Genomic DNA, 25536 nt, shown 5'->3' on the forward strand with positions numbered 1-25536 from the left:
TTCGGTTTAGATCTAAAGTTTTCCCTACTGCATAGCTCAGGTTTGGGAATATAGCAGTACTTCCATACCTATCAGAGAATGTAAGACCATCCCATCTGGTAGACTCTAAATTGCATTTTTTTTTTTTGAGACGTAATCTCTCTGTCGCCCAGGCTGGAGTGCAGTGGCACGATCTCAACTCACTGCAAGCTCCGCCTCCTGGTTCACACCATTCTCCTGCCTCAGCCTCCCAAGTAGCTGGGACTACAGGCACCCGCCACCACGCCCGGCTAATTTTTTGTATTTTTAGTAGACACAGGGTTTCACTGTGCTAGCCCAGACGGTCTTGATCTCCTGACCTCGTGATCTGCTGGCCTTGGCCTCCCAAAGTGCTGGGATTACAGGCGTGAGCCACTGCGCCCAGCCTAAATTGCATTTTTAAAAGGTTGAATTGTACAGTTTTTTTCCCCCTATTTTTCAAGAGTGATTAGAGTCTGTACTCAAATTCTGCAAATGTGCAGTGTTCTTTTAGTGAAAACTTTTAACTTCATGGCTGGAGTCCTTTAGTTCAAATGTCCACTAAACAGAGTGTTACAGAAAGCTCTTAACAAACCTTTGTTACTTAAATGTAGCTTTTTCCTTTCTCATCCTCCAAACCACCCAATCCTAACTTCTTAAGTAACATTTATGCTTTTTAAGGTAAAATAATTATCTTTCTATGCATTTTTTTCTCTTAAAGCATTATAGTTTGGCCTGATGGTGGACACAGAAGACTTTCATATTCTTGTTTTTTAAAAGTCTCTTCAGTAGGAAAAAAGCTACAGATTTAAAAAATATGACCATGACTAGAATAGAATCAGCTTAAAAAGAAACAAAGTTTTTAAAAAATCATAATCCATGCTATGTACTCACCAAAGTGTTTTGAAATTTGTGTTACACATAGATTAAAACAGTGGTTCTTAACAAGGGGCAATTTTGTCCCCCAGAGGACATTTGGTCTGGGAGGGTGCTATTGGCATGTAGTGGGAGGCCAGAGATACTGCCAAACACCCTACACTGCACAGGACATTCCCTCCAATTACGCAGTACAAAATATCAGTAGGGCCAAGGCTGATAAATTTTGGATTATAAACAGAAATAGGTCATCCCCTTAGAAAAGAAATCAGAGGCTGGGTGTGGTGACTTACACTTGTTATCCCAGCACTTTGGGAGGCTGAGGTGGGAGGATCACTTGAGCCTGGGAGTTCGAGACCAGCCCGGGCAACACAATGAGACCCTGTGTCTATAAAAATAAAAAATAAAGTGAAAAAAAAAAAAGAAATACAGAGTAACTTATCTGCAGAGTGCTTTCAATCCCTACCATTTTTCCTTGTTCTTATCATATGCCACACACAATGATAAGATTCTCAGACTGCTAAAGATCAGTAACAAACCACCTCTGTCCTCACCTCTGATAGCAGAACTTCTCAACAGTCTCTCCTACCTGCGTGTAACACTATGGGTATATTTGAGCAGTACGCAGACACGGCAGGGGCAGGCATCAGGGCAAATAGTGTTCACTTTGGGACCAAAGGGTGACTCTTGATGCACGTCATGAGTTTCTTTGCAGCTATGGAGCTGAAGTGGAGCTTAGAGGTTAGGGAACAAAGGGACATGGAGCCCAGGCCAATCAGAGTTCTACATTGCCTTTTCTTGGTAGTTTCAGAGCAGCATCAATGCAGATGGTATGGTCTGAGCTAAGCCCAGGCCAATCAGAGTTCTACATTGCCTTTTCTTGGTAGTTTCAGAGCAGCATCAATGCAGATGGTATGGTCTGAGCTAATCTGAAGCTTTTCAAGAGCAAGATGTTTTCAGGCAAATTTTACATCCTTAAAATTTCAAAAGGGTTTGTAGACTTAGTGCATCTAATTTCTTGAAGATGTATTAATTAGACACAAAGTTAATTGTATCAATATCCAAGTATACTCTTAAGAATGAAATGGGTATATAAGGTAGCACTTATGTTTATGGCTGGTAAGGCTGTGTAACAATTTGGCCAATGGACAGGAAAGCAGGAGACTTATTGGAAAGAGCAGGTAATATATGACAATTAGGGCAGGTTGGTGAGAGGGAAGCTTTAGAACTAAACTATGGCAACTTCAGAGCAGACCAGAACCTGTGGGACTGTTGAAGGCCAGAGCTAGGGTGGGTCTGAGACCTTGTCTAATCTAGAGCCATTCAGGCAGAGTTTCAGAGGAACCTGTGGATATGCGTCAGTCCCCTCTGATATGCAGGAGCCTATTCCATTGTGTATCTACACAGTTCTTTTTTCCAAAATGGTTATAAAGCATTTTCTTAAAAACTAGCCTTCAGGTTCATGAAATACGAGGAGGAGGAAGTGAAAATGTACTGACTGCTACTGGTAGACCTAGGGTCAGCTTTGAGGACTGAGGTAACCACCACAGGAAATAAGTTTTGAGGTCTGATTTTGAAACAATATTGGAAGACCATTCCTTTGTGAGATAGAAACTTCTCCATTTTAATTTTAGTATTTTAAGCTTTTCCTACAGGTCAGTTGGGAATAATTTTTATTTAGGGACTCACAATCTTGAATTTTTAGCTAAATGCCTTAAGAATAAAATATTATTTAAAAAGTATTAAAATGCTGTGATTCCAAACAGTTTCTTGTTCAAGATGAAGAATATAAAAATATACCACCATGTCTCGGCAACTGGAAAAGCAGATTTTAATTTTCATTCCAAAAATGAGAGACTGAAAATCAAAGGCTTAGGACCACAATCCACAACCCTCCTCCCAACCTCCTGTCTGTCTTTGATAAAAAGCTACAAAGAAAAAGTTTCAGGAAACTTTCAGACATTTATAATTAGCATAAACACTGTATACCAAGATGTGTAAGTCAAAACGTCTAATTACTCTGGGATACAAGCTCAGGCATGTGGCAACAGAATACTGCCTGAAAGGTCATTTCAACATCAAGTCACGGACGTCCTATTTACATAAGGATCTAGGGCAGAAGCACAATGTGCACACTGCTGCAACTTTCTCATATGTGAATGCTAACATCTGCTGAAAAGCTGTTGGTACCTTTACTGCAGGTTTCCTGTCCTTGAGTCAAATACTTTCTACTCAATATTGGATTGAGGTATACATTAGATTAAAAATAGAACCAGCAAGGGTTTTCTTCATTTATTTAAGTGTTTTGTTCTTCTGTGGGATTACAAATCATTCAAACTTACAGAATTCTTGTTTGACAGACACCTTTTCTGATAAGGTGATTGTAAATGCTCAGTGAACCAGCAGTACCATGGTTTGACATGACAATTCCTGGTGTTAAAGTGGACTCATATAGCTGAGCGGGCCAAGATCATCTATAATTTCTTTTTTATAGATTAGGGACAATGAGGCTTAGTGATTTGTTCAAGTTAGAGTCATACTTAGATTGACAACCCCTGTACTACAAATCCGAGCCTGCTCCATGGCTGTCTGAAACACTCATTACCTTGTAATACTAACATATTATGTTTATAGTCTTTCTCCCTTCACTAGAATATAAGCTCTGCAAGGACAGAGGCTTTTGTCTGTTGTGTTCCCTGAATATATTGTCAGCACCTCAAGTGGTGCGTGGCACAAAGTAGTCACTCAATGCATATTTGTTAAATGAAAAGGTGGATTAATGCCTGAGCCAGGCCTAGAACTGAAGTGTTTGCTTTCTTTCCACCAGCATTTCTGAAGCATGCTGAAAAGTTTCCTTATGTGAAAGAGGGGTTCTTTCCTCAAATAAATTTAGGAAATGCCAAGTTAAACAAAATAACTTTCTTTGCTGTGGGTCTTTTCATACTGAATAGTTTCCCAATTTGTATGGCCTCAGAACCCACCTCCCCTCCGGCATCCCAGGAAGCCAGTCCATCTCTTAATTTTATCTAAAATCTATTATTTGACTATATATAGACTATATATTAGCTTAGATACAAACTTACTGCAAACATTTAAACATTAGAATTCTCTGTTGTTCTCAAATTATTTCTAGACTCTTGATTCTGTGACTTCCTTAAAATCTAGAAAATATACTTTAAGCTAGAGAAATATATTTGCATGTACTATTCAGGCTCCACAGTTTAGGGACAGAATAGTCTAGAATCAGAACAGAAAATAGAAACCTCAACCTGAAAGCCACATGTGCTATTTTTTAAACTAGACCTGCAGTTATGACTTTAGGCCCAAACATTATGGGTTGAGGGGAGAAAAAAAAAAAAGCCTCTCACATCAGCCCAGATGTGCAAACCAATGCTGAAGGGTGGAGGAGTAGGAAGGGGAGGGTAGCCTTCACTGGCAATAGAAAAAGTTAAGTATTAGAGAAATCAATAAGAGCTAAATATTCCTACTGACAGGGAAGGGCAGAGGGTAGAGAGGATCCAACACATATTAGAGCCGTCTGAAATTTCCATATGATAGCTATTTTACTGAAGAGAGTAGTGCAAAATGCCAAATTTTTCTAGCACAAAGAGAAATATTGGCAGTTATCCCCAAAATTCAGGTCATATAACAATAATTCAGGAATTATAATTAATAAATAATTCAGGAAAAATAAGTCCATTTATTTCCTTCCATTGTTCCTCTTTAGCAAGATGTATATTAAGCAAGGAAAAAGTAAGGTGAAATTGCTTTCCCTGTTATTTTTCACATGGTTCCCCTGGATCCAGTATTAAAATTTCTAGTTCTGGATTAAAGAGTATAGCAGCCTAATACTGAGATTTCCTATTTCTCTTATTTCTGTAGGATACAGTCTTATTAGAAAAATAATTCCTGAGAACTGCATTCTCATCCCTAATGTATTCTTTTAAATTTATGACCATTTTGGAGAAAATATCATCGACGGCAACATTTCAAAACCAATTTTAATTACAAATACACAATAACATCGATGGAAGTAAAGTACTAATTTTTAAAAATAAAATACACCCAATACACTCAGTTGCTATATAACTGAAATTACAAAAAACTACCTTGAGTAATTTTTGGCTCTCTTAATATGGCTTCTCTATTAATATGAAATTAGCCTTCTAAATGTTAGTGTTTCTGGTAAGATGACATGGATTAATTGATTCTTTCATTTAATTCACTTATTCCACACATATTAACTGAGTACTACTGTGCTAGGCACTGTTTAGGTTTCTATGACATAGTAGTGAATAAAACTGACAAAGATTCCTGCCATTGTGGCACATATGTATGAAAGTCCAGGAACGAGATAATGATGCCTAGGACCAGGACAGGGAGAAATGGATGGATCTGGGATGTATTTTGCAGGTACAGGCAGCAGGATTCCTAGACATACTAAATATAAGGAATGAAGGGGAGAAATCAAGGATGACTCCAGGGTATTTTGCCTGGAAGAATGGAATTGTTTCAGTATGTGTATGTGTATATATAGACATACACACACACACGTGTGTATATATAGACATACACACACGTGTGTATATAGACATACACACACACGTGTGTATATAGACATACACACACACGTGTGTATATAGACATACACACACGTGTGTATATAGACATACACACACGTGTGTATATAGACATACACACACGTGTGTATATAGACATACACACACACGTGTGTATATAGACATACACACACACGTGTGTATATAGACATACACACACACGTGTGTATATAGACATACACACACACGTGTGTATATAGACATACACACACACGTGTGTATATAGACATACACACACACGTGTGTATATAGACATACACACACACATATGTGTGTATATAGACATACACACACACATATGTGTGTATATAGACATACACACACACATATGTGTGTATATAGACATACACACACACATATGTGTGTATATAGACATACACACACACATATGTGTGTATATTTTACTTTGAATGTGATAATGAGCACCTTAATGTAAATGAATCCATTAACTGGTTAAGTGTACTTCTTATTTTTAAATACTGTACAACTGACCAGTGTTGGTTTCGTCAGCTAAAAAGGGGCTTCAAAGGGAGTTTTCTTATGATTCATTTTTGTAGCTTCATGGCTAAAAAGTATTTAGAAGAACACAGGTGTCTGAGTGTGTGTTGTTTGGTAGTTGGGTATTTCCAGGAAAAAAGGGGTGATGACAGTTACTGGCAGGGGAAAGATGGAAATAGCAGATTAGTACTAGAGATACTGCATCAGGGAAAAGATATACAGACTATGGAGCATGAGAGAACAGAAACTTTGTTTAAAAATGAATGCAAAGTTGAACCAAGTGCCAAAGTGGTTTTGGAAGAGAAGTGAGACAGCCATCGAGAAAATCTAAATAGTTTCTTCAAAATGCAGTCATGGCTGGGCTAAGCCACAAGTTCTTCTTTGGTGGCAAAAACTAAAACCTCCCATTGGGTTCAGCAACTTATCATAAAGCTGCATTTCATTTTTGTTTTATTAACCAGTCCCTTCCAAAATTTAAATATACAAAGCTGATATAAACTAAATTATCATCTCGTTCCTAAATCTTTCCACCCTCCCACATTGCCCAGTTAATAAGCCATCATTCATTTAGTGCTGAGATTACTGGCATCCTGATGAGTGAAATTTGACTCCTCTTTCTCACACTACTCCACACCCCTCAACAAACACATAATCGTAAGACTTACTGCTTTTTCCTTCCGAAACATTTCTTAAATGTATATTCTTTCCTCTGCTTTGGCTCAGTATTACCTTTTGCTTGGACAACTTGGTTTTCGACCTCCACTTTTGAACCATTCTCAATCCCATCATCTAATCATTCAGCTGCCATCCTATAATCATTCAGTTTTTATCAACAACTATTCTTACAAAATGTCAATATGACTCTGTCAGTCTCAAGGGTCATTTATTTCTTCATGACTTCCTACTACTTATGAGTAGTAGATGTAAGCTTCTTAACAGTATATATGTTTCCTTGTCAGCACTCTTGCTACTAAACCAGTTTAACTGGGCCTCATCTCCACATTGTATTTCATGTCCAGCAGCAATACCGTGCTTGCTGGGTGCCGGAACACGCTACTCTGTGTCCCCACTTCTTGCCTTAGCTCATGCTAACTTAATGTGAGTTCAGCTTAGGAGTCCTTCCCTCAGGAGCCTTTGCTTTCTCAGTGAGGTGCGTTTAGAAGCCCGCTTTCTGAGTCTCCATGGTCCCCTCACCTCTAGGCGCTCATCGCTATTGCTGCCTTCACTACATTGTATATGCTAAGTACTCATTTATTTGCCTTTCTCTCCCACCAGACTGTGAGTTCTTTGGAGGCAAGGACCATGGTCTTCCTCATTTTTTTTTTTTTTTGAGACAGAGTCTCGCTCTGTCGCCCAGGCTGGAGTGCAGCGGCTCGATCTTGGCTCACTGCAACCTCTGCCGCCTGGGTTCAAGCGATTCTCCTGCCTCAGCCTCCCGAGTAGCTGGGATTACAGGTGTGCACCACCACATCCGGCTAATTTTTGTATTTTTAGTAGAGACATGGTTTCACCATGTTGGTCAGGCTTGTCTCAAACTCCTGACCTCGTGATCTGCCCGCCTTGGCCTTCCAAAGTGCTGGGATTACAGGTGTGAGCCACTGCGCCCAGCCGGTCTTACCCACTTTTATATATATTTGAAACACAGTGGAGTAGATACCTAATAAATATTTGTTAGATTTATCTGAAGAAACTTAGATTAAATTCACTCAGAAGGTGCCTTATGTCAGGGATACTAAAAAATTATAAATGGATTTGAAATAGATGACTTAAGAATCTGTTGAGAACCAGGGTTCCCCAGAGAAGGCAAAAATAAATTACAAGATGAAAGGAAGGGTAAAAAAAAAAAAACAACAAAAAACAAAAAAACCCCCACACAGCTGCCTGCTGTGTGGTACAAATGTCAGGGTGAGAAAGTTTCTAACCTCTCTTATGCTATGTTTAGCCCCAAAGCCTAGGCCAAGTGGCTTCCTGGGTTTGTGGGACTTAAGTTCATATTATACATTTTTCTTTCTAAAAAGTATCTTCGTCTTTATTAAAACACTCGCCGAATACTCTGGCTTCACGAAATTCCATTTGAAAGTATGACCCAACCTCTTTAAAACCATTTTGTATTTTTAAAGAATTTAGAATGTAACCATACTAAATAATTCTAAGTTTAGTAATTCTTCTTGTCAAATAGGAAGCAGAATTTTGTTTTAAAAAATGGTTTCTCAGAAACAAAGCCCAAACCTGAATTCTACAAGGAAAAAAAATCTTAAATATGAATCGCAACTTCCAATTCATTGCCAATCTCCTCTCCTTGTACCCTGGAGCCTTGAGCAACGTTCTTTTGCATTATGCCAGGAAGAACTGCTGGCAAATGTAAGTGGGCTTAGAATTCATGACTGCAGTCAGCAGCAGTTGTGTAAATCTAGGGAGAGACTGGTATTTGACACCTGCAAGTCCTCAAGGTTAACAGAAGTCTCAAAAAGCCCAAGCCCCAGATTTTGTAAAATACATGGTTTCACCCCAACCTAATCAATGTCACCAAGAAAACTTGTAAGTCCAATAAGACAAACAATAGTTAAGTCTGCAGAATATTTCCATATAGATTTAGAAGTATATTTAACTCTTAATTCTCTGCTTTCAATATCAATTGTTTTTGAGCCTTTTCTTGGGTAAAGTTACCGAATGCTTTTTTCAAAGTAAGTCTTACGGGGAACTTATTTTATGTATTACAAACAGACTCAGAAATGCTCTAGTTAAGGAAGGAATGATGAGAGACTGGAATTGCTGAGGCAGCCACTGTGGTAAGTCCTCCCTGGGGACCAAAGGCACAAGACCACAGTCTATGCTAAACAAGGAGAAACAGCAATAAGACATACAATATTTGGGGTATATCATTTTAATTAATTAAATTGTAGTCAAATCTTAAATGAACATTACAAAAGTGTGTGTGTAAAAATATGCACCATTTTGTGCCATTTTTTTTTTATGAGAATTGGTGCCAACTATTTGGAGAATACCAAAGGTAGGAAATGGTGTCCTGCTTTCTTGTTCTTTCTCCTTTTTAAAACGCTTTCTTTAGAATTCTCCCTTTGCACTTCCAGTTCCAAGTTGTTTCTCAATGGTTTGAGAAGAAAGTGAAAACTTCTCTTTTACAAACGGATGAAAAGAGAGAGCCCTAATGGACCACATCTAGGATGCTAGATCATTGGGTCTGGAGCAAACTACCCAGTTTCCAACTCTGGCTCCAGAATCTACCATCTGTGTTACCTTGGGCAAATAACCTCAGTAATCCCCAGTTTCCATACTTGTAAAATGTAGATAATGATATTACCCACCTCATATGACTGATGTGAAGTTCAGAGATAACCCATCTAAGGTGTTTGGCACAAGGCCCGGTACACAGTAAGTGCCAAAAAATGTTTGCTTTGATAATACAAAGACAATATTGGGGAGCTCCCACTCCAATTCTGACCTGTTTGATTCTAACACACACATGCCTTCCTTACTATAATGAGATGTTTTATTTTTGAAGTAATTTCTGGTAACAAGCTCTTCGGATAATCAAAAGTTAACTATACTCATTCTGAATCTTCATAATTTAGAGAAAAATAAGGGGCTACAAGTCTTCTGGGTCAAAGCTTAAGTGTTAGTGTAAATGGAAACCAAATAAGGTATCTGGAAAAATAAACAAATAATGAAAACAACTAGCAATATTTCCAACTGTCTCAAACTCAAAATACAGAAAGATAAGGTATGAGAATGAATCAGCTAAAACAGGTGTCCATGGAAGGCTGAAAAATTACAGATGCCTGCTGCTCCTCTAGAAGGGTAGCAAACACTGCTTCCCAAGTGCCCTATCCATAAAAAAAAAAAAAAAAAAAAAAAAATACTGCTTTCAGATTCCCAGAGTCCCAGATACTAGCTACAGCACAACAAAGAAACAAAGAAAATAGAATTAAGGGTTCTCATGGGAATCACAACTTTATGACTCTAAAGCATTCAATCTTCATAAATACAAACAGTATTTTAAAGTCTGTGGGGGTGTTTTTTTTTTTTTGTATCAAGCTATAGGTAGCCCTAAAAATGAACCAAACATATAGTATTTTAATTTTTATAAATCTGTTTCCGAACATCTACTCTGAAAATGCATTCCTGAGGCAGAGTCTGGTTTACTCCATAAAATTTATTTCTATTCAGTTTTCATAAGTCAAATTTGTTTGTTAATTTTCTTCAAGCCTATAAAGAAAATAAAACTATTTCTAATTTCACATGTATAAAGCTATTGATATGCACAACACATCAAGAGCTAAATTAGAGACTACAGTTCTGATTTCTAAGAGGTTGGCATGTCTGATGTAAATAAGAGGGCCTGTCAAGTTTCTTAGACAGACTGATTTATAATTGCAAGAAATATAGGACTAAAAAGATTTCTAAGGATGGTTAGGCCATTGGCAAAGCCATCAAATCTATGCCTTCACATAGAGAAAGAGACACTTTGGCAAAAAAGGGCAAAGGTTTACATATGGGTAATTAAGGTAATTACTATATTTGAATAACTGATATTACAAAACTTTTGCTTATCTTTTAGATAGTTATTTAATTCTGCTAGGAGGTAGAACCACATACCACAGAGTCCCTCTAAAATAATGAAACTATATAAAGTAGTAAAACATTTTATCCCCTGGCCAATAACTCACAGCATTGCTCCATGAAAAAAAGAGATCCATACCGCTAGGCTTTGTGAGACGTTTGCAATGTTCTTTTAAAGAAGACAGGCATCTAAAGATGAAGGTAGAAATTCAAAAGCACTAAATGATTATGACCACAAACAATGGTAAAGAAAAATGTCAAAATAGCAAAATACAGTATGTAAAAAGTTATATAAATAGAATAATTATTTTTAAAAGTTAGAGAAATAGAGTAATTTTGTCAAAGGGAGTCCATGAACTACTAAAATAAAAACTCTCCCCACCATATTGGGAGAAAGCATGAATAGTATAAAGGAATGAAAAACTCAAAACCACTCCTAGCAATACCAGATGGAGACAACAAGGCACTGGATGTTACTTTACGCTATCTTAAAACATTGCAGTATTTTACTCATGTCAGATTATAATCAAACAAATCACGCTGTCAAACAGTTTTTAGACATTATCAAATGATTAATTTTGAAATTCAAAAAACATGTATCCAATATTGGCTGGGGAAAACCCCTTGTGACTGGCACTTTCGAACAGCTGTGGGAATATAAGGCAGCAGCAGCTTTCTGGGGGTGGGGGATTCAGATGGGATAAATGATTTGGTGACAGTTATTGAAAACTTTAAAAGTATTCTGACCTAATAAATGCCATATCTAGGAATCTATCCTGAGGAAATAAAGATAGCAATAATAATTTATGCACACGGATTTTAATCATACCATTATTGTTATACAGAAACCATACATGTAATAGGAGAATGGCTAAATGATAGTGCATCCATAAAATGAAATGTTAGGTAGCTATTTAAAAGCAACTTTTATTATTTAATAACATAGGAAAATGCTCATGATACATGCTAAATGAAAAAAGAATATAAAAAAGCAATAAACACATTAAGCCTGCAATTTTAAAAATGTAAGTGTGAGCAAGAAGAAAAGACTAGAAAGAAATTGAATAAAACTGTTTTTCACTATTAGGGACCCTTTTATTACTCATCTTTATTCTTATGTGTATTTTATACACTTTACAAATGTTTATTCACTTTGTTTTTCAATCAGAAAAACAATAAAGGCTGCATAAAAATAATAACTAGATTTTAGGTTATCACTGATACTTGCCCTTTGACCAATTACCTTAAATATTCTTGAAAGAGGTTAGAGATTTTTTTTTTTTTACAGAATCAGAATTTATGAAGTAAAAGACTTTATCCCAAATTAATCCTGGACTCATTATTCTATTCTTCAAGTTTTCTAAAGAAGGAACAAAACACTGTCTTCCTTTAGAAACAAAACACAAAACATCAAGCATCCCTAACAAAGTTTTCCGTTATAGCCAAATACAGAGCTTTCAAACAGCTGTGGAAATCTAAGTAAGCATCATCTTACTATTCAGTGGAAATGGAACACCCTCAAATACCTTCTTTCCTAATCTGAAAACTGACTTATAAATTACCAACATAACTAGATTAAGGAAAAACTAAAAAGCATTCAGATTAGTCATAACAAAAACTTCTAAGTATTGATTAGTAGAGTATTACTACCTTCATAAATATGGCTATGCCTTATATTCTTACTCTAAAATAAGATATCCATAACATACCTTACTAAGTGGTTATTAAACCCTAGGCTTTTCATGTATTATAAAGAACTGCCCTTTTCCTATGGCTGCTTAGGTACCAACCCTCTACTGATGTGGGCCCAATTTAGTTCTTTAATCACTTGGCTATTGCATTCTGAGTTTTATTACCCTAAGCCCCCTAAGAACCTCATCTTTTAAAATTCAACCAACTGCTGCTTTTCATTCCCCTAATCTGTCCTTTCTAGACTGGACTTTTTCCTAGGACACTTTACAATGCCACTGCTCCAAAACATCAAGTGTTAACTCAGAAAGGAAAGTAACCTCCACTCCCACACCCTTGATAACACCAGCAACTCTGCCTGCACCTTCTTTCCACTGGAGAGAGAGAGATCACAGACAGAGAGAAAACTTTCTTTCTCCACTGATAGATGACAAAGCAACTCTATCAAGTAGTTGACTACCAAGATATTAGCTGGTGTCTAGCTCTAGATAACAAGACCTGCCTTCTCTGTTCTCCTTGTCAACTTGTTTTTTTAAACCTTTAATATCCAGTTTTTCTCCTTAGAGTCTTGTCATATTTGAACTTGGCATCTCCAAAAATTTCTTTTATGTTTCTCGAACAATTAGGAAATACAGATTTAAAATGCCTTTTTGGCATCTATTGAAACATGTTCTGGTTTTTCTTATTTAACCCATAAAGATGACAAATTATCTTTAATGATAATGAGAACAACTTTAACATATTTGTTTCTGCAAAATAAGTATAGCTTGATAGTTATGAAGTTCAATGTCATAATAAGAACCTGTAAACTCAAGAACTAGAATGTGAGCAATAACACATCCATCCATACTCCTCTCCTTTTCCCTCTGCCTGCCTTTCCCTTCATGGGTAACCACTGTTCTCATTTTCATAACTGTCATCCCTTTTTTGGTTTTTAATAATTTTATAATATACATAAACCTACAAATAGATTGTCTGATTATTCCTGTTATTAAACTTTATAAAAACGGCATCATACCGTATGTATTCTTCTGCCTGCTTAGAGTTATAAGTTACTGCTTTTCATTGTTGTATATTATTCCACTAAATGAATATACCACACTTAATCTCTATTAGCCTGTCATTGTTCTTAATTAATATGGGCAAAATTTAACAAAAGGAGCTTCAAATTACCTAAATATTAGTAATTAAAAGTAACAATAGTCATGCTTTCAGTATTCATATGTAAACCAGTATTCTTTAACAGCTAGAAAAAAAATTACTCTTTAAATAGGGCTTCACATCAGAATTTCATCTGTAAATCTACCTTTTCTTTCTTCTTACGACTAAGGTTCCAGGTATAATTAAACCCAATAAAATGTCCTTTGGAGTTGCTTTTTGAAAATCCTTTTGTTCCAATTCTCCAATGGGAATACCCCCTGGGCAGCTCCATTCTGATAGAATGAGGATTGGAGTGTAACCTGAACACCTCATGGATAACATGTTCTAAACCAAACACACCCATGTCTCCTGTCTCAACCTGCTCTTTTCGTCTATTTCAGATTTGAATAATGGCCTCACCACCTAACCAAACGCTCAAGTAATAAATACAGAGCCATCCTTATCTCTTCTTCTTCTTCTCCTCCCATATGTAAGGAATCCCATGTATAAGGAATGACTAAGTCAAGGCAGCCATTGGAGAAGCATGTTAAAATGCAAATCTGACCACATGACTCCCTGGCTAAAATTTTTTAAATAGTTGATAATCTCCTACCATGTTTGGTAAGCTATAATAGATTGTGACCCATTGGAAGGTCATGGCATTAATTTAGTGAATTGTGACTAGGATTCTTTTTAAATGAAAGAGAATGGAATAGAACATATCAGGGTACATTGATGAAGTATGGGTAAAGACTATGTTGTGGAACTTTTGTTTCAGTTGTGTGAATGTCTACATCTATATGTGTAAAGCTATGTGATGTAAAACAGTTTTGCCTGTGAATTATTTGTAAATGTATTTGAAGGCCACTCATTTACTGATGTAGTTTTCTCATATTAGAGAGGTCAGAGGTTACCCAGAAATTGATGGAAGTCATGAAGCTTCTTTTGAGAAGAGAATGTATACGTACCTATATATATGTATAGTCTCCAAACATTGTTATGACAGTGAATCGAGCTATCCTAAGAATATCTGGGGGAAAAAAATTGTTTTAAGTCCAGGTTTCCAAACCTCATCATAGCTCTCCAGGGAAATTTTATAGATAAGAAGCACTGATCTCCAAGGTGAAACCTAACTCCTCAAGAAGGTGGGGCTGGGTGGTAGATCACCCCTGTAATCCCAGCACTTTGAGAGGCTGAGGCGGGAGGATCGCTTGAGTCCGGGAGTTGGAGACCAGGCTGGGCAATATAGGGAGACCGTGTCTCTTCAAAAAGTGAAAAAATTAGCAGAGTGTGGTAATGCGTGCCTATAGTCCCAGCTACCCAGTAGGCTGCAGTGAGCTATGATTGAGCCACTGCACTCCAACATAGGTGACAGAGTAAGGGATGGTTAAATTTAAGGGACCACAAAGTATCAAAGAATTGGTAAAATATTATTTTCCAAGCTTAAATAAGTGTGAGTACTATTAAAGTGATACTGCCTGCAACATAAATAACTCAATTCTACAAGTTCAGTTTTTGGTGGGAAACAAAAAAGCAAAGCCAATTAGTGACAAATTTTATCGACAAACAGATAATGTCAGGAATACAAATGGGCTATTTTACCTTGTCTACACAGTGTCTACCTGTCTATCATGGTGCCTGGTACACATCGCGCACTGACAAATATTTGCTAAGTGAAGGCAGTAAGCTTAACTCATTGCTAAGAATACAATTTAAGGCAATTGTGGTAGCTTCAGATATTAGTTATAGCTCCAGCTGCTGCATTCCAAAGTGATGCAGTTTGGTGAAGGACAGAGCAGGGTGAGCACCCCTGTTTGTGCTCATGCTTTGGGGGGCTTGTCTTGCTGTAGCTCACAGTGGGGCCTGTGTAAGGGTATGATCCGTGAGTACTTTGAGATAGTTTCCTCAGGCACCACAAACATACAATCAAAGTTATTCTCCCACACTCTGCTATTCTGAGCTCTTCAAGGGCAAGGGGTGGCCTAGACCGAGTACTCTAGTCAATTTACAATAGTTTCAAAGTATGATTCAATTATTGTGTGAGAAAATATGCAGTTTCCAGAGTTCCCAGGGGCAGCCCATCTCCTGGGTAAAATGAGATTTTAAAAAATGTGCACTCTAGCCTGGGCGACAGAGCAAGACTCCGTCTCAAAAAAAAAAAAAGTGTGTGTGTACGTGTTGTGTGTGTGTATATATAAAAACTAAAATTTTTTTAACATTAGGTAATTTACTATTTTATTAACACCTTAGTAAATTAACAGGTGGCTAAAGAGGTGTAATTCAGCAAAAATATTAGATGATATCTATGCATGTTAACCACTGTAATATTAAAAAAATTAAAACAGAACTACCTTTATAAAGAAATATAATTTTAACATTCTTCTGGTATTAATTACACTCAGAGCCAAGAGTATCAAGGTAGCTGTTAGCTGGCAACATTCAGAGCCGACTGACTAAACACAACCCTTGGCAAAACCAGTGGGCTAGCCAAACCAAAACATCAAGGGAAAGAAGTCGGAGGGAAGGCATATTATCTAAGAAGGTATGGCAGTGCGGGGGATTTATTTTTATCTTTGCTGTGTATTTCAAGCTGATAGCTATCTTTGCTTCCCCAGGAACCAAGTAGGGTAGGGAAGGACAATCTGCAGGAAGCATTTTCAAGGGGGCTGAAATTGCCTACTAACTTCAAATACTGTATAATTTTGTTTTTCAAACCCAATCTTCTCCACACCCCCCACAAAGTAAAATAAATAATTAACAAAATATCTCTGAAGGCTTTGCTAAGTTTGGGGATAAAAAAACGAGAAGAAAAATCCAACCCTCTGTTTAATGACTCTACTGAAAGAGTTTTATAGCAGTATTCAAGCCTTTAAAGTTACCAGTTAAATGCCAATTTCATCTTCGGAAGGTCATTGTGCCTTTTTAGAAGGCATACATTTAGAACTTGTTTGGCTGGCTATTCCTTGTTCATTCTGGGAAAAGTGTGTGTGACTCAGTGTTTCACAGGAGATACTGCATGGTACTTATAGAAAATATTTTCTATTTTCAGTCCTCTTCTTAAATTCTTAAACATGATTTCTAAAAATTAGGCCCGGTATGGTGCTTTAAACCTGTAATCCCAGGTCTTTGGGAAGCCCAGTCAGGAGTATTGCTTGAAGCCAGGAATTTGAGGCCAGCCTGGGCAACACAGTGAGACCCATCTCTACAACAACAACAAAAAATTAGCCAGTCATGGCTGTGTATCTATAATCCTAGCTACTTGGGAGGCTGAGGAGGGAGGATTGCTTGAGCCCAGGAGTTCAAGGCTGCAGTAAGCTATGATTGTGCCACTTCACTCCAGCCTGGAGAGCAAGACCTTGTCTCAAAAAATAATTATTATTTTATTATTTCTAAAAATTATGTTATGTAAAACTATTTTCTAAAGCCTCTGGGATTGCTGAGTCTGAAAGTAAGCAACTAAATTAGAAAGAATTTAAGAATAATATTCTCATAACAAATACTGAGTTAATACCGAGGTCTAGAATCTCATATACTGTGACAAAGTTAGCATTATTTCTCACTGCCCTGGGGAAATTACTCCCTGGACATGAGTCCCTGAGGCCTGAGGCAAGTCCACTCTGTAAGGCTACCACATGCCAGCAGATATGGGCATTATTCACTATTGAAAACTTTGCCATTTCAGATTTTATCTCAATTATAACATACCACACACTTACCTTTGTGTGTGTGCACATGCACACACACAGTTCTTAAATAGGTCTTCTGGAATTTTACACACCTATTGCCAAGATGTGACATTTTGTATCTACTAAAACCCTTGTTTAAAAGGCTATTTCATACCAATGACAAATACACATATACGCCTTGTTCCTGATAGTCCCCCATTTCCATAGAAGTTCTGAGTGGAGGGTTCTGGATGAATCCTACATTATGAATTATTTTCTAAGTATTAGTCTGTATGTGTTTGTTAAGACTGTGCGTTCTCTGAGGGTGGAGCCCATGCCATGCCCATCCCTGCATCTTTTCACACAAAGTACATAACAAGCACTTGGCACTACTAAAGGCTGAAAGAATGTTTGCACAGTGAATAAGAAAAAAGCAGAACAACAAATTAACCTATTAACACATTCATTGATTAGGCTACCTGTTTATAGTTTATTGCTTAGAACAATTACGTTGGTTGATAACTGCATCAGTAACAACTGCTATTACAGTATGGCAGGAAGAACTTCTCCCTAGCAGTGTGAAGAACAAGACTGTAGTTACAGCTCTGCCTCTATTAACTGTGTGTCTTTAGACAAGAAACTTTCAACAAGCATGCAAATACAGAGTTTAGTTTTTAAAAATGTACTGAAACACATCTGTGGAAAATTATCACCTGTCACATTTTCAGTACCAGATCAGTAGATACAACTATCTTGATTTTTATAAAGCTTACTTCACAATAAAAATGTTGCTTTTGGAAATTGGGTGCATTATACCATTATACCCCTCTGAATGTTGTAACTTGAAGATCACAATGCAGTAGCCCATGTGAACGTACCGGCTACCATTTCTGTCTAAATATGCTGTTCTAGAGAGATTTATAATCCTAGTAAACCTTTAGTTGTAAGTATCTTAGGTACAGATTAGAACTGTGAGAATTGGTTGATTCACTCTCTTCAGAATCAGCAAAGCAATTTTGGATGATTTATTCACCTCCTGATATTCATGAGTTTAGAAATGAGAATCAACTGCTACCATAGATATTTCCTCACCTTTCTGAATCCAGAAAATGCCTTCAATGACCATCTAATTTTCTGAGCACCTTTTTCCATTAAGGAACAGGGGTAAAATGAACAGTGAAGTCACAATTTATATTTTTAATACTACAAAGGCTGCTGCCCAACTGTGATAATAAAAATCCAGGTAATCAATGACTTTCAGAATTTCTACTCTTTAGCAGCATATTGCTATACTTTAATATTTCAGTCTGCATTTATTTAGAAGAAAACTTCAACCTAAGGGAACATGTTCAGGCACAAAAGCAAATATGCTTAAAAGCTAACCAGCCAAGACCCAAATTCTGGCCTTCTAAAGACATCACTGAGGGAAAAAAATCTTATAATTAGTAACAAGGAAGAGTATAACCATGCAGTGCTTAGTGTGAGTCTCATCAGGGAAACAGAAAATGATTTTAACATTATATGTTCAGTTTTAAAACGATATTTTAACAATGCTTAGTTATACGTCAAATATGCCTATATATGACAGTATCATGACAGTTAAGGTACAATTTCAGTCATATTTGATGTAAAAAGACAAATAAAATTTCTCATTAAGGAAAAGTATCCTTTGTGGAAAATTTAAATTTAAATCTATTAATTTAAAGCCCTAAACATATTTCACATAGGAAAAAAATCTGTAAGCATACTTCTTCAGAGAGGATTTAAAGCAATCAGCAAGGCAACATTAAATTATCATGGCTCTCGAGAAAAACAGAGGAGCAGTGTACAGAAGACCCTCACATCGGTGGCCCTGCGTCTTCCCTGTGGGCTGTGCCAACCCACTCTCTCCCCAGTAATGACTCTTTGTTTTTACTAAGTCCCAAAGAGCTGGGGAGAGCTCTGCAAAAAGAAGGGGGGGAGGGGTGGATGGAATGCAGCTGCAGGCTCTAAAACAATGCTGAGTCCATATATTTTGTTCCCAGTTAGAATAATGAAAAGAGTGGGGGGTTGAGACAGAATAAGCAAGGTAGGATCAACCATCCTATAGCTCTCAGTCTATAGTACCTCCACTCCTCATCTACTCTACCAAATCCAATCACCATTTGCTTGGGTTAAAAAGCTTATCTGTTAAAATTCAAACACCCATTAAGATTTAAACCCATCAGTCATTTATATCTAAATTGCTTCCATCAGTGAACTATACCAAGGCAAGGAATAAAGTAGGAAGAGAAAGTAGAGCAGGCAAAGATAAACTGAGGGCACTTGGACACATGGAACAGGAAAGCTACAGGGGGACATAGGTAGGAAAATTTAGAAAAGGTGGTCTAAGATTTCAAATATAAACTGCCTGCTTTGCAATGCTGCTTGGGGCCCAGGGGCAACTAGTATGCTAGAGAAAACCATACTCCCTCCTAGACTGCTAAAAACTGCAAGGGTCAGAATGGAGAGTTTGGAAGCCTGCACATATTGGTGCCCCATAATTTAGGGTTTTGGCATAACTTGATGCCTCCTTAGAAAATATCCTTTACTTGCATTTCCCAGGAGAAAGAATTAAGGGAAGCATCAGCCCTAGAACCCTACTGCTCCTAGTAAGAGAAATGCAGCTCAAACCTTATACTCTTCCTCTAGCCCTCTTCTCCCAAGATAATCCTTTAGTGAAAATCCATGGAGCCCTCCAGGGCTGGTAGAATTAGGCCTGACCCTGGCACATCTCTTCAGATATTATTGCTGCCATTAAAATTTGCAGGAAAACTCAAGAAGCCTTAAATAAACACCTGAACTAAGCCCTCAAATAGAAAATCAGCATGTGCTAATGACTACCTACTAAAAAGCTATACAACAAAATTCAGAAGAATACTTATTCCAGTTAGGATCCCATTCATGAACACTTAGTCACTGAAGAGGAAAACAGGACTTAATTGTAAAGCTGTCATGTAGAAGCAAAACTCTGACATCCACACAAACATCTCCTTCAAGTAAGCATTACAAAACACATTTAGAAGTACTCTTGGCCTGTGTTGAATGATGTAATTAATCTGACTCTTGAACTGTTTTCCAGTTATAAAGGTTAGAAAGACTATTTATTTAAATTGACACTTTTGCATTTTGTGACATAAGAAAAATTCAGAAGTCTGTAGATTTACAATAATCAAGAATCTTCCTCCCTCAGCTTATGTTTTCTCTATAGCTCTAAAAATCCATTTACGGATATTACAAATTTCCATTTTATAGCTAATATATAGAGGCAAATATAGAATACATATTAATTTAAATGAAGAAGCAAAAAGAATAATTGAGTCTACTATTTATTTTATTACTATGAAATATTAATAGTAATAATTTTAAAGTACTGATTCTACTCCTGTAAACTTTATCATCTATCATAAAGACAAAATTCATAAGTCCATTTTATTAGGCATTATCATTTATTGTGCTTTTAAATGCAGTAATAAAATACACAGAAAACTTTGTTTATTCTGTATATATGAAAAACTCAATTTCTACTTACATATTTCATTTCCTGGTATATACAACTTAAAAAAGTGCACACACAGCAAAATTTTGTTAATAGTAAAAGCAATTACAATCATAACTTGCCTGAAATAAATAATCCCGTATGGATGTTAAGCTGTGATAATACATACTCACATAATACCTTGATGTACGTTATACTTCAATAAAAAGGTTCAAACATGCAATTATCCATGTTATGGATAAAAAAACACTGTCAATATCAATAACCATATATGAATTTTTTAAAAGTAAGTTAATAAAATAAGATAATTCAAGCATCTTAAAGATGTCAGAAATTTTCATTTAGTCACAAAGCTCACAGAATGAGTGGCTGATTATAATAAAAGGGTCAACTGAAAACGGATTTTAAAAGTTGAATAGCGTGCAAGAACATTAGATTTGTTTGTTAAATCAATAAGAGTACTCACCCCGTGGAGTCCTTGGAACTGGATTGAAGGTCGAAAAGGAATTAAATTCTATTAAAAGAAACAAAAGAAACAAACAGGTAAACCTTGGTTACTGTGACATAGAACTAAATGTTTAAACTTTAAATCTATGTTATTTGGGCCAGGCACAGTGACTCATGACTCTAATCCCAGCACTTTGGGAGGCTGAAGCAGGAGGATCACTTGAGGCCAGGAGTTCAAGACCAGCCTGGGCAATACAGTGAGACCTCCCCCTCCATCTCTATTTAAAAAAAAAAAAAAGAAAGAAAGAAATATATGTATTTGGTCAGTGTCATAATGTGTGAAAATCTCTTTTCATTATATACTTTCTTTTGCATGTTACTATATTAAGATGCCTTGGATGAACCATATCACACTATTTACATTTCTCTCTGAACCACACAAACAAAATATATTTTTTGGCAGTGCAGCTAATCATGTTTTTGAAACTGACCAACATGATTTGGCAAAAAATGGTTAGTATACCAATTCAATTTTACATTAAAAAAACTGTATTGTTGCATAGTTTCCTGGTATATTTTTAATAGGGGTGGGAGGAGGGAAGAGATAATTGGAGGAACTTTGCAATACTGTAACAGGATGCTAGAAATATAAAATTAAATATTTGAGAATAAACCTGTTTGCTATTTTCTCACATTTTATCAGAGATTTGTTTTTAATTGAGAGCCAAACAGGTTACCAGTTCTCTCACATGATTCTCACCAGGAGAATGTAATTTCTAGATCAGTGTTTTTTATTATGAGCTTTTTCTTCTTGATAACTTCAATATTTTATCATAGAGTTGTGCATTTAGAAGAAAAGCTGTTATCATAAATGTCAGCCATAGTCTTTTGCATGATTTCCTGTATTCAAAGTCACCAGCATATTTTTCTATGGGAAAGCTTTTCCAAATTGCCAACAGAAACCCACGAAGAAATCAGATTTGGGTAATGTTTAATGGTAGTACATCAGCCTATAAACTATTCACACCTTCATATTCAAATCCAATGTACAAAAACAGTGGTTTCTGGTCTCATCTCTACCCCAAATAAAAATATAGAGGCACTAATATGTTCCTCACCTCAGCTATAGCACATCACCTACTACTTCCAAATGCTTCCCAAAACTTCTCTGCAGACTTAAAAGTTTACTAATAGGGATTATAATAAATGAAAGAGAAAGAGAAATAAAGATAAGAACTTCTTTAAAAGACAGACCACCTGAATGTAAAATCAAGTGTAACATTAGCTATCTTATTATTATTGATAAAAATGAATAAACAAATATCTTCTTGGAGAAAACATTATAATGGATACTGTTACTGTTCTACTACCATAAAAGATCATTTAACTTTAGACTTATCAGCAGAATCTAAGTACTACTGGGTAACAAATTCATTTATTGGTGTGGGAGAAGTGAGCTTTTTAAAAAGGAAAAATAAAAAGGTAGTACCTGAATTTTTAAAATCCAATTTTTTAGTAGATTTTCATTCTAATTCATGGTCTTTTATGAAAATATAAATATAGATTAACTTTCTTAAGGCGAAAAATGCCACCCCCAAACTACTTTCCACAGCTAAACTCACTCTTCCTGAAGTAATGAAAGCATGCCCATAGGGGCCTAGGTAGCCCCTCTTCATGTGGAAGAGTAAGGTGGCCCTACAATTGAGATTATACAGGTTCATGTTCCAGCTTTCACAATATTTCCATCAGTCCTGCTTTCTGAATGTCTCTCCAAATCAGAAGCACTGAACATAACCTCATTACACTTCCCTCATTACACTTCCCTCCTTGAATTCTGGCAACTCAGAGGTTGTCTTCAGCTCACCAATGAAATTTGAAATTCTCTCTCCAACAAGTTCATTGATTCTTCTTGGTCAGATAAATGCAAACTTCTCAGCTTTCAAATTGCTGATATCCCCACTGGATATCCATCAGTCCTCCCAGCTCTCTGATCACACCTTTCATTTCGAAAGGCTAGTGCCTTTCCTTTCCTCTTTCTAGATCCATTTCATCCTGGAGGCTCACTGAACCTGTTGGGTGATAACTCTGAATCTCTTCTCCATTCCTCAGCTGGCACCTCTGCATAGCCTGCTACTTACTACTGCTGATAGGACATTTTGCATTAGAAACTCACAATGGCAGCAAATCTCAATGACTGGCAAATATGAAACTAATTCCCCCATCCCCAGCCTTCCCAACCAAACCGTCACCTCTTTCTTACTTTTCTGGCAAAGGCACTTTTATCCTCTTGGTTATCCAGGCTCGCCACCTTAAAATTAACTTACAGTCTCTTCTCTCCCCGACTTCATATTCTATTAGTCGTTTACATACTACATGCCACTAGAATCACAGGATTCCAAATCCAGATGAGGCCTTAGAGATAATACAGTTGGCGCCTATGCCCCACAGGATCAGAACCCAAGACTCAATCTCCCTATTTTGCCATGCTGCTTTTCTTCTACTACCTTATGTTCCACACACATCTGTTAATGGGGTATTCAAGAGTGTGGGGGCATAATCCCTCATGCCAGAGAGTTCATCTTTTAGTTGGGGAAAATTTGAGAATGATTAAGTACTAGGCTAAGTAGCACTGGGAAGTGTAGTAAGAATTCTCAAAAAGGACAGTACGGGTTAGAACACATAAATGTTTATTGAAAAGGTGGCTCTTGAATAGCAGTTTAGAAAAGGTAAGTTCCAAGGAGAGAGAATACCCTGAGGAAAAAAGCAAGAAGACAGGAATGGACACTGTATGGTCAGAGGGCAGGTCTGTATGTGTACGCTTCTTTCCCACTTGAAATACAACAGCAAGGATGAGATCTGACCTGTAAATTCCTGCCTAATTTTTCCTTATCCTCAAAATGTGTCTTCATTTTTAGTTTCTATTTGCTACAGAATAGGGCAATAATTTAAGTTTCAGACCTCAGGATGACTCTGTCCAAAAAGTTTATCACTCTGAAATAATCCTGCCCTAATCCCCTCCCTAACCCCTCACTGATGGGTTTTACTCTTGCCTTTAACTTGATAAACTATTGGAGGCTCTCTCAATTTTTTGTATAAGAGAGTTGCTCAAAGAAGTGTTTTGGGGGAAGGCAGCTCTTTCAGTTATGTGTAAAATAGATGGAGAGAGATGGATCAGGGCAGGGCAGGGGTGGAGAAGTGAGCTAGTGCAGTCCGGGCGGATGCTTTAGAAATACCCTGGAAGTGGTAATAAAGGCCTAAGTTAGTATGACTGCATCTGCAGCTAACAGGGGATAGTGGACAGAGCAGATATTCCCCAGGAAAAATGATAAGATGTGCTGAAAGCTTGAATATCAGACACCAAAGAAAGATGATGCCAGCGTGGCTCCAGGGCTCCCAGTCACCAAATCTGGCCACTCTGCCCCAAACTCCCTCAAATTAAGTTCTTAGTCTCCATTTCAAAAGCAAGACCCTTATCACCTCACAACTAGACAATGGCTTTTTCCCTTCCTTGAAGTCCTTCCAAATTGTTCAAATAGCCAGCAGAACCTCTCTCATATACCACTGTTGGCCCACAGTAGTTCTTACCACTGTCTGTCAAAACAAAGCCAACTACTAAATAGAAAACACATCCGCTATCAACCAAGATCAACCAGAATCAACCAAGTTCATCTTCCACTTCCTCCCAACAATGGCTCAGCTATGTTAACCTTTGTTTGTTTTGCAAAGACTTTCCTCTCTAACTCTTTCCTGTTCTTCCAACCTGGCATAAATTCCCAAGCTCTACTTTGCCAATCCATAGTTATTGCTTACTTAACATTCAAGCTCAACATTAATTTCCTCAGTGAGACCTTCCTTTGGATAAACCAGAAGTCAAACACTCAATGTTTCAATGTCTTCAAAGACCCAAAGGTCTTTGGAACAGATGGATGTAAGGCAACAAGGAGTGGTGAGTACCTGGAAAATGAATGCCCAAAGGAAAAAAATCCAAATTTAAAAATGTTAAACCTGTTTCTAGCCAAACAAAACTCTGGTGCCACCATTTTGCTAACTTGGAACTATGTAACTATGAGTTAAATCTCATTAGCTGTTTGTTCAGATCCCAGCATCTACTGTTCCACTACATAAGGTATATTTTTTCATAGGTTGTCTTATTCCTGATTGTTATGATACAGGAGTCTTAGGCATATGTAACTTACAAGTATTACGTGCTCAGCTAAAAAAAAAAAGTATTGTAAAATCATTTTGTATATGTTCTCTTTATATATGAAGTATACCACTATACACACTGTACACATATGCAGATTACTATTCAGGGTTGTACAGACAAGACAATATGTACTATTCTTCACAACAATTTAGAAACTTGAAATTTTGACTATATACAATCTTTTTTTACCTCACGCCCTGAATTTAGAACTTGACTTCTTGACATGCTTATAGTTCTACCTATACAGCTTGACTCCTCAACAAGAATAATTTTTATTTAGTTTTCTAATGTATGGCACAGAGC

The 25536-nt window shown here is 36.9% G+C and overlaps 1 protein-coding gene across 5 annotated transcripts in view, besides 3 other annotated features; it reads right to left on the reverse strand.

Annotated features, from left to right (window-relative positions):
• The window catches only part of ELL2 (elongation factor for RNA polymerase II 2), a 76754-nt gene that overhangs the window by 36859 nt on the left and 14359 nt on the right, over positions 1–25536 (reverse strand). For 2 of the 5 annotated variants that reach the window (NM_012081.6, XM_017009239.2), the window contains exon 2: positions 21046–21093. In NM_012081.6, coding sequence (NP_036213.2) covers positions 21046–21093 — 48 coding nt within the window. Of the gene's footprint in view, positions 1–10675; positions 10758–21045; positions 21094–25536 lie in introns of those variants that run through there. The other 3 variants (XM_017009240.3, XM_047416959.1, XM_047416960.1) reach the window with 3 other exon arrangements.
• Positions 2148–2287: an enhancer, noted in NCBI's record as "active region_22813". NCBI's record gives its function as "activates an Ori minimal core promoter by ATAC-STARR-seq in GM12878 lymphoblastoid cells {active_cell/tissue: GM12878}" and the evidence as "EXISTENCE:reporter gene assay evidence [ECO:0000049][PMID:35858748]".
• Positions 2769–3063: an enhancer, noted in NCBI's record as "tiled region #10583; HepG2 Activating DNase matched - State 5:Enh". NCBI's record gives its function as "activates a minimal TATA promoter and a strong SV40 promoter by Sharpr-MPRA in HepG2 cells {active_cell/tissue: HepG2}" and the evidence as "EXISTENCE:reporter gene assay evidence [ECO:0000049][PMID:27701403]".
• Positions 5902–5951: a silencer, noted in NCBI's record as "silent region_16188". NCBI's record gives its function as "represses an Ori minimal core promoter by ATAC-STARR-seq in GM12878 lymphoblastoid cells {active_cell/tissue: GM12878}" and the evidence as "EXISTENCE:reporter gene assay evidence [ECO:0000049][PMID:35858748]".

This window comes from Homo sapiens, chromosome 5 (assembly GCF_000001405.40).
Source record: "Homo sapiens chromosome 5, GRCh38.p14 Primary Assembly".
NCBI classification, from domain to species: Eukaryota; Metazoa; Chordata; class Mammalia; order Primates; family Hominidae; genus Homo; species Homo sapiens.